Source organism: Homo sapiens, chromosome 11 (genome assembly GCF_000001405.40).
Source record: "Homo sapiens chromosome 11, GRCh38.p14 Primary Assembly".
NCBI classification, from domain to species: Eukaryota; Metazoa; Chordata; class Mammalia; order Primates; family Hominidae; genus Homo; species Homo sapiens.
In genome coordinates, this window is record NC_000011.10 from 94,789,989 (window position 1) to 94,800,338 (window position 10,350).

General features: G+C 43.6%; 1 protein-coding gene across 10 annotated transcripts in view; it reads left to right on the forward strand.

Annotated features, from left to right (window-relative positions):
• Positions 1-10,350, forward strand: part of AMOTL1 (angiomotin like 1) — a 170,289-nt gene that overhangs the window by 83,529 nt on the left and 76,410 nt on the right. For 4 of the 10 annotated variants that reach the window (XM_005273798.5, XM_006718772.4, NM_130847.3 and 1 more), the window contains 2 exons: positions 5,023-5,172; positions 9,402-10,323. In XM_005273798.5, the coding sequence (XP_005273855.1) occupies positions 5,023-5,172; positions 9,402-10,323 (1,072 nt within the window). Of the gene's footprint in view, positions 1-5,022; positions 6,281-6,977; positions 7,033-9,401; positions 10,324-10,350 lie in introns of those variants that run through there. The other 6 variants (XM_011542626.3, XM_047426452.1, NM_001301007.2 and 3 more) reach the window with 3 other exon arrangements.

Sequence of the window (10,350 nt, forward strand, 5' to 3'; positions counted from 1 at the left end):
TGAGGAATGGGTCGCTGGCCTGTAGAGTTGAAAGCACTAGTATTTGCTGCATAGGGGAGAGTAAGGGCCCCCTCATCTTACGGAGCTGAAAGGTACAAGGAATTATCTGGAATTCTCATAGAGACTGGCTTTGGAGGGATCTTTGTCTTTTCTTTAACTCTTACTTGGTACTGAGAACATTCCAGAGAATACCGCCATGTTCTTGCCATCAGTCAGCACGTAGTAAGAAGCATATGTCTTACATGCTACATGCTTGCAGAAATTAGCAAGTACACAGTACACTGCCTGTCTTCAAAGGGTAATGACTTCACCAGGGCCATAACACCAGCCTATTAAATGACTACTGCAAAATACTAGGCAGGTGAAATTTAAGTACCACAAGTTTTGTGTGCCTCAGATCATAAGTGTGGTGACAGTTGAGGGAAGGGAGATCAGTCAGGGCATGGGGGATGGTGTTGAGAGGCGTTCTAGAGGCGGTAAACTGAAGAGGTACATTTACTAGGATGAACTTTAGAGTAGTTAGGGGTGCATGTGAAGCCAGAAGGTGGCACTTGGAGAATGAGGATGACATGTTCACAGGATGCTGGGATGCTGAGGGGACCAGCAGGACTATGCACAGCTAAAGGGGGCCCTGTTTAGAGACAGCCTTGAAAACCACAAAAATTCCACCCTGAAGTTATAGTCCAAATCATTATGTGTAAGGGAGTGGCATGCCGGCAGTGGAATTTAAGGACAAGGGACTTCCTAGTTGTGTGTATTGTATGATAGCGGAATGACAGTTTCACGTCCTCCAGGGTTTAAACCTCATGGAGACTTTGAGCCTGTTGTATTAATGGCCTGTGGACAGATTCAGGAACTGACCCTTGGGAATTAGTAGTTCCAGTGGCAGGTGAATCAGAGGAGTGGCTCACCACGGTTTCTGTTGCTCCTCTTGCCTCCCCCAGACAACTCACTTCATTCACCTTAATTCATTTTTTTTCCCTTCAACAATGAAGCCGTTGTTATTGCCACTCTTGAGTAGGGAAAATAGTCTTGCTCAGAGTCACATTAGCTAAAGGCCTCTGTTACAAAGAAAGCAATGCATAAAACCATATGGGAAGGAAGTTTTCAGTGCTTCAGAAAAGCAAGCCAAAAAAGCAGTCATGCTCAAAGAGAGAGAAGCAAAGGAGTTTTCATGTTGACAAATGACGTGCAGATTTTGTTAAGAAAAAGGAGCCATTCTTGGTGAAATGGGTCATAGGCAACATAAGGCAGAAATGTTGTACCCTTAAACTAGAATGTTAGAATTTCATCCTTTGTGGAGTGCAGCAAAAACAGATCTTTAGGTTTTCTTCAGGTTAAGGGCCCTAGGCACTGTACTTTCTCCTCCCCAGTGGGAGACTCCCCAGAGAGCTGACTCCTTTACTCAGACCTTAGCTTGTTTTCCATTGCTTTTGCCACTTTCCCTATGCATACTAAAGCTGTGAGTGGTGATTCTTAGATAAGGTTCTGGTTTGAAAGAGATATCTAAAAGTTACCTACAAAGTCCAGAAGTGCTTGTATGGGAATGGTCTTTATGAAGCCCCTACAGGCAGCTACACTGTACACAGAACAACTGTAAAGCCAGGGGGGTCCTTGGCAGGCTGTGGGCTCCCCTAAAAACTGGCACCATTGCTCAGCCCCTGGTACCGAGCCAGGCTCTGCAGGGGCTTTCTGGGTGGTAATGGTATCTGGGAGGCTTCTGTGGTTTCTCCCAGCTCTCGCTCCTGGCCATGAACTTTTGACATAGAAAACAGCAGTCCCTCTCATGCCATAGGTTTATTTCCAATTCCTCATTTCAGATATCCTTGACCTTGTCGCTTAGATCATGTGCCCTGCATTTTGCCTAAGAAAGTAGACTCAATTTGTGTTGCAGGAGTTCCCAGTGAAGACAGTGAATTAAAATAGGCAGGGAAGGATTAGGTACATGTAGAATGGAACTGCGACCTCTGTTAAATTTTTGTTGTGTGGCCCCGGAATCTGGGGTAGACTCTGTGACTCACATTACTGTCACGTTTCCTTGTCTTTCAAGTGAGAAAGCTAGCAGTTAAAGTGACTCCTAGTAGAAGTCCATCAATGATAGACTGGATTAAGAAAATGTGGCACATATACACCATGGAATACTATGCAGCCATAAAAAAGGATGAGTTCATGTCCTTTGTAGGGATATGGGTGAAGCTAGAAACCATCATTCTGAGCAAACTATCGCAAGGACAGGAAACCAAACACCACATGTTCTCACTCATAGGTGGGAATTGAACAATGAGAACACTTGGACACAGGATGGGGAACATCACACACCGGGGCCTGACACTGACATGGACTGGGGGAGGGATAGCATTAGGAGATATACCTAATGTAAATGACGAGTTAATGGTTGCAGCACACCAACATGGCACATGTATACATATGTAACAAACCTGCACGTTGTGCACATGTACCCTAGAATTTAAAGTATAATAAATAAATAAATAAAGTGACTCCTTCAGGCTGTGTCAGTGCTGGGACAGCTCAGCCGGTTGGTTGTCTCTTGGCTTTAGACGAGTGGATGGTACCTGGGCATGTCCATCTGCTGGGTCTGTTGTCATCTGCTCTGCTCTCCAGCCTTTCTTCAGCACTGAGGAGTGGTCAGCAGCAGTGGGAGTGTAACTCAGTGGACGTGCAGGACCCTGGGTGTGTGTGAAGAAGTCCTAAGTGATCTTTGACATGTCTTAATAGTTAGGCATCCTGTCCTTCAGTGTGAATTCAGGTGTGTGTGGGGGTGTGTGAAATGCTTTAGTTCTTTCATGACACTGAGGAAACAGTGGTGAAGGGAAAAGGCATATCTTTGGTGTCCTCTGTGCTCCGGCCCTGCTTCAAGGATTGCCCTCTTTGTAGTGTTCTGTGGTTTGGAGTTCTTAAACCCACTCTTAGTTAGCAGACCATGAGATAAAGTGTGGAAAAGTAACTCATACTGACATTGTAGTGACAGTGAATGGCTTAGTGCTGGGATCCATACTGAGCTCCACATTGAAAGCACACACACACACAGCCCTACACTCTTCTTTATACACATATTCATATATATATACACACACACATATATATTTTAGTTGGACCTCAGTTTTATTATCAGTTTGCTCTGTTTTCATTTAACATTCTTAGTCATGTGACTAGATAGAATCATCTGAAGTTGTAATATGCTGGCACATGGCATTCCTGACTCAGTGTCTATTTTAAGAAAACATCACACTTTCTTTGATCGAAGCATATGGGCTCTCAACTCCTCTCTTACTCTGATTTGGTAGGAGGGATGGGAATGAAGGCACAGAAAGGTGTTTTGGGGTTTAGTTTTTCTGTTGCTCTTCTCCCTCTTGCTTAGAGCTTCCCCAGTTTCGCTCCACATTGGAATTGTTGGAAGAGCTGTATAAAATACAGGTGCCTAGGCCCTATCCTCAGAGCTTCTGATTGAATAGATCTGGGTGGTTCCTGGGTACAGAGATTTTAAAAGTTTCTTGGGTGATTTTAATGTGCAGCCAGAATTGCACCTTGTACCTTTTTCATTTTCCACTGTTTTCCACCTGCCTGAAAGAGGAAGCCAGATTAGGACTTGCCTTTGCATCCAGGTCATCCATGATTCCTAATTTTAGCCCTAGGCTTCTAGATTTATAGACGTAGAGGATGATGCCCGGAAAGGGGCTGAGTTTCTTTTCAGGTTAGTCTTTGTAGGTTGGCCAAAAGGAGAAGGCTGACAGATACTGTCATGCATTGGAACTGTAGTTTTAGACTGATCTTCATATAGTATCATCCGTACTCGGTTTATGTTCATCTTTAAAGTGGGCATTACAACTACATTATTTTTAATTTATAAGAAAAAAATTCTTGTCAGAATCCTTTCTCTTTCTAGTCCAAAATGTGCCTGTAATACATGTGAGCACACACGCAAATACTGTTTCATATGTTGAGGCAAAGAAACTCAGGAAGGAGATGAGGACATTCCCATCTTATGGTCGTTTGGTATCAATAATTAGTCACTTACCACTAGCTATGGCCTTGTGGGAAATGGGTAGATAACAAACCTAGTGAGAAGTTTCAAATTACCAGTTGGAAGCCATTGCTGAAAAACAGGATTTTTTCTTTTAATGGAATTTTCTTTTGAGCAAGGATGTTAATTTTTAAAAAAGTACTATGATTCTTTCCCCAGAGTAAAATAAGTTACTTTAGCTGAAAAGAGCCTTAAACTTGGTGCCCATGCAGAGGAATCAGTGCAGAGAGGGAAAACAGCCTGGGCCCGTCCTGCTGAATGTTCCCATGGATGTTGTGTGTGCGGTATCAGTGTTACTGTAGTACTATCTCATGTTCAGTGACTGAAGGACTGAACACAGTGTCACATTTAATTGGAACAGGAAGCACACTCCAGTTTGTGTGTGAAGCAGATAAACTGGAGCTGAAAGGCCAGTGCTTGGCAGAAGACCAGACCCCATTGCCCCAGCTCCACACTGTAACATTAGACTCCAGAAGTCTTTGAGTGGGGCAGAGAGCACATTCTCTTGCTAACACATGGTGTGGCAGAATGACCACTCCTTTCTGTATCTTTTATGTATTTTGAAAGACAGCTGCTCTTCCTGTTTTGCTTTCCTTCAGTGGCCTCCCTGCTTCCCTCCTTTCTGTCCTCAACCTTGACCATTCAGAACTTTGTGACACATTCAGTCCCGCAGAGGACTTGACTTTCGCTGGTGCTGCTGCAACCCTTGGAACCGGGTTGTGTGAGAACATTAGAGCATTTGCGCCTTCACTCAGTGTGTCTTGAGGACTGTTATGTTGACCTCACGGGTCATTTTGGTGGGTGGCTGGACTTGTGATAATTCTGAATAGTAACTTTGGAATTTTATGAATCAAAAAGAAAGAGCTCCCTCTGCCAAGTTGAAACACTGTGGGAGAATGCCTGGTGGGTTCTTGTGAGTCACACAGGAAGGAAGGAGGACTTGATGGGCACTCATATTCACTTCGCTTTCTTTCCCCCAGGGTCCCCTTCTGCTTGTTATAGCCCCAGTAGTCCTGTCCAGGTTCTAGAAGACTCCACCTACTTTTCCCCAGACTTTCAGCTCTATTCTGGGAGGCATGAAACATCTGCTTTGACGGTGGAGGCAACCAGTAGCATCAGGGAAAAAGTTGGTAAGTCCTTTTACCGGCACTTGTGTTGGAAAAGCAAAATGATCTTACGTTTCTCATCTTTAGCTCTTTTGCATAATTCAGATGTTTATTCTCTAATCTTGTTTTTTAAATCATCATATTGGATTATTGATTGTCTGTTCATAGATGCCTTATTTTTAATCATGTTTTGCTATGGTGTTAATAGACTGCTTTACTCTAATATGTGACTCTGTCTGAGAGCATCATACCTAAACATGTAGGAACTTCAGAATTATACCACTTATTTTCAGTTTTTCTCTGATTCCTAAATACTTTTTTCTCCCCTTTCTCAGAATCTCATTTCTTTTTTCCTTCTCTGCTTTTGTTTTTATCTCTTTTTGCAAATAATTTAGAAGTTAAAAGAAGTAATTCAGAACTATAGCAAGGAAGGAGCTGTCTCCTTTGTAAAAACTTCCTATCTCTTTTTGAGGGCTTTTGAGACTGGTTAAACTGTGAGGGAATCTTTAAACCACTTTAGGGAAGGATGTCATGGTTCTTGCTAAATATGCTTATAACTCATCTCTCTCTTACTTCAGTGAAAGGGGAATTCAATAGTTTTCATGCTTGTTGAGATCTATTCCTTTATTATTCATCCAAATACATCATTCTCCTTTGGAAATATATTTTGATTTGAAGTTGTATTCATTTTATTTTAAAATGTTTTAAAATTTTTTTATTTGAATGTGCTTGTTCCATTAAGTCTTTCAGATCAGTTACCCTGAGGGGAGGACTGTGTCCTCTTTACTTTCGTAACCCCAGCACCTGTCCCAATGCCTGAACTATAACACGTTTTCAGTAAATATGGTAGAGTGAAAGAGCAGACCAGTCCAACCCACATTGATCTGTCTTTCCTTGGGTAGTTAATGGTTTATTACAAATATTTGGCAATTCATGTTGTGTAGAGTTTTAATAGTTTGTTTTTATTGTTTAAAATTTTTTTGCTGTTGAACTTTGGGTTTATATCTCAGTTACAATATTGATTCTTTGACGGTAAGGGATAAATTTCAGTTTATTTCACATACATTCCTATGAGGCAGATATGAAAGTTTCTCCATTTTTCAGAGGAGAGAGGTTCAGAGAAGCCACAGAGGTGAGATTTTGGGGGTAAGGGTGACAGGGAGAGCCTTATGATCAAAGTTGAGCTTCAGGAACCAGTGTGTAAACTCCCTTCATTTCCTCAACAATCATGTCCTGAACGCCTTCTGTGTATCAGGACAGGGTTCAAGGCACTGGGGAGGCAACACATAAATATAACAAACAGAACTCTCTGCTCCCGGGAGTTTGAATCTGGCAGAGGAAGACAGGTCATAATGCAATATGGATTGAAAGGAGAAGGAGCCAGGGGCAAGAGATATTGAGAGGCCATTCAGCATGTCTAAATGGCTGGCAAGGAGAGTTGGAACCCGTAGAGTGGCTGAGGGCACGGAAGAACGGATGGGATGGGGGAGCTTGTTGGTGTAGAAACTAGGGCTTGGTTGTGATTTGTAACTGTTATAAATGTGAAATTTCTTAATGAAAATTAGGGGGCCATCACGGAGTTACAGTATTTTGCTATTGCAAGGACAGTAACAATGTCATCTGCTGTCACCTTTTTTTCATATTTTAATACCAAAAATGTAGGAGGGATGTGATCCTTGACAGTTCTTGCCCCAAAAAGGGCAGTTATGAACCTTCTAATGGCATATGTCTATTTACATACACATATAGATGTATTAATATACATATATGTATATATCTTGTATATAAGCATATCACACCACCTTTGTTTTTTTCTCATTTCACTGTAGACTGAGAAAAACGAGCGTGGCAGTTGATTAAATGTGGAGAGCAAAGGATAAAAAGGTCAGAAGTGAATATGACACTTCTATCTGGATGACTCATATTTGAGAATGCCATTTATAGGAAGAAAAGATGAACTTGGGGAAGAAAGATTGTTTTGGGAAAATGATGTGCCGTATGTACACATGAAACATAGAGCCATCATTACATGAATCTGTAAGAGTGAAGGCTGCCTAGAGATGATCTAGTTCAGCTCTCTTGGTTTATAGAGGAGGATATTGAGGCTCAGGGAGGGAAAGCGATTTGTTTAAGGTCATGCCAGTAGTTAGTGGTAGAATTTCTACTTTCATAATGCTATAATAATATCCTTAATGCACTACTTAATAGTCCTGTTGTGAAATGGGCTAAATTTTTTATTTCATGGAGCTCATGTAGGTATTCTTTTATTGGTTAAATATCTGAGCCCCTATGACATCCAGGCATTGGGCTTTGTTTTGGGGAGACCCAGATGCGAAGACATGATCTTTGCCTTTGAGGAGTTTAGACTCTTGTATAAATAAATAATTGCCATCTACTGTGAGAATTGCTGCAATGGAGATATATACAAATGGAGTGGGGACATTGGAGAAAAAGGCTCAGGCCTGCAGGGCTGTAGCAGGAAAGGTTTTACTCGGAAGGTAGTTTTGGAGCTATCACTTGTCCAATAATTTTCCCAAGAGATATGGTGAGATGCATTTTTCTAGGCAGAGGGAAGGCAAGCAAAGGTCCAGAGGCTGGAGAGAGCTAGCATGTCTTGGAAACTATATGTACATAAGTATTGCTGGAGCTTAAACGCCAAAGGATTGCCAGTGGGAGTTGGGAGCAGCATGAAATGTTGTTGGATAGGTAGGTAGTACCTGCTACACCATATGATAGAATATCAGTTTCATCCTGTAATTGATTATTGAGGAATTTTGGTGCAGAGGAGTGACATGATTAGATTTCTCTATTGGAACAATCTTTCAAGGTAGTGTGCCAGATAGATTGGGGTCAGAGGGGTGGGTTTGGAAGTGGGAATAAGATGAGTGTCAGGGAAATAGATAAGGAGGCTGTTGGAATGACCTGGGTATGTGTTGCTGAGAGCTTGTAATGTGGAATGAACACAGATTTGGTGTCATATCCCAGTTCTGCCTCTTCCCGCCTGGGGGCCTCGGCAATTTACCTTCTGTGAACATCTCTCCTCTTCTGTAAGGTGAGGGAATTACTATCTACCTCTTAGTGTTATATTTGGAATGAATGAAATAACACATGGAGAGAATTTAGTACAATACCTGGCACATCATATACATGTTTAAAGTAGTTCTTATGCTTGTATTGAAGTTATTAATGATGAACTTGGAGATTGGCACGGGAATAAGAAAGAGGGTTGGCAGAGATGTTGAGAAGGTTGAATTGACAGGCAGTGGCTGTCTGGATGTTGGGGTAAAGGGAGAGGAAGGAATTTTGGAAAACCTTCAGTTTTCTGGCTTGACAGAAAGTAGATGAGGCAGGGAATACAGGGGTTGGCATGGGTGGTTAAGTATTTTGGGCGAGGAAGACATGTTGAGTTAGAAGGACTCAGGGCCATCGTCTGGCAGTTGTAGATGTATGGGTCATGAGTCAGTAGTTGACGACGAGGGGTAGGTGTGGTGTCACTGGGAGACGCATAAAGGTGGAAGAGCACTCAGGACAGAGCTGTAGGAAACACCAGAATTTAAGGGACAGGTGGAGAGAAGGGAGCCAGAGATGGTGCATAGAGAGAGGCAGGAGCCAGGACCAAGAGGAGGGGTGACCTGGAGGCCGAATTAGGAGAGCATTGCAGGAAGAGGGTAACCAACCATGTCAAATGCTTCAGAAAAGTTAGGTGTATAATATGAGGGCTGGAAAATTCTCATTGGATTTGCTTACTGGTCAGAGCAGTGGGGAGGTTAGTGGATGGAGCATTTGGGAAGGGGAGACAGCAAGTGTAGGGTACTTACCAAAGACAACTAGATGAGAAGGAAAAGTGAGATACAGGGTGGTAGTTAGAGGTATATGGGAGGGCCAAGAAAAGGTGGTTTCTTTTGGTTTGATTTTGGTTTTCTCTTGTATTTTTTTTTAAATGGGAAAGACTTGGGTATATTTATGTGATGAAGAGAAAGGACCGGTGGGGAGATTAGAGAAAAGGGAGGGGTTGAAGGATGGAACAATGTTTAAGAGGAAGCAGAGGAGAGGGAGTGCAGAATAGTAGACTCGCTTTGAATTGGAGAAGAAAATTCCATGAGACATTGCCAGGTAAATGGAGGTGATGATGCATTTGAAATCTTATTTTTAAATGTTGCTGTAGTTAGAATGTTAATTATGTACCACATAGTCACAGACATATATCTCCTGTGGAGCTGCCTGATATCTTTTTTCCTATGTTTATCTTTTAGTTGAAGATCCTCTTTGTAACTTCCACTCCCCAAACTTCCTGAGGATCTCAGAGGTGGAAATGAGAGGTTCCGAGGATGCGGCAGCTGGAACAGTATTGCAGCGGCTGATCCAGGAACAACTGCGGTATGGCACCCCAACCGAGAACATGAACTTGCTGGCCATTCAGCACCAGGCCACAGGGAGTGCAGGACCAGCCCATCCTACAAACAACTTTTCTTCCACGGAAAACCTCACTCAAGAAGACCCACAAATGGTCTACCAGTCAGCACGCCAAGAACCGCAGGGTCAAGAACACCAGGTGGACAATACGGTGATGGAGAAACAGGTCCGGTCCACGCAGCCTCAGCAGAACAACGAGGAACTGCCCACTTACGAGGAGGCCAAAGCACAGTCGCAGTTCTTCAGGGGGCAGCAGCAGCAGCAACAGCAGCAGGGGGCGGTGGGCCATGGTTACTACATGGCAGGGGGCACCAGTCAGAAGTCCCGAACTGAGGGGAGGCCCACTGTGAACCGTGCCAACAGTGGACAGGCGCATAAGGACGAGGCGCTGAAGGAACTGAAGCAGGGCCACGTCCGCTCGCTCAGCGAGAGAATCATGCAGCTGTCCCTGGAGAGGAATGGGGCCAAGCAACACCTTCCCGGCTCGGGGAATGGAAAGGGCTTCAAAGTAGGAGGGGGGCCCTCCCCTGCCCAGCCTGCAGGTAAAGTGCTGGACCCTCGGGGTCCTCCACCTGAGTACCCCTTCAAGACCAAGCAAATGATGTCCCCAGTCAGCAAGACCCAGGAGCACGGACTTTTTTATGGTGACCAGCACCCCGGGATGCTCCACGAGATGGTCAAGCCCTACCCTGCTCCTCAGCCTGTGAGAACAGATGTGGCCGTCCTGCGGTACCAGCCACCCCCTGAGTATGGGGTAACGAGGTGATTATCAACTGCAGACGTTTCGTG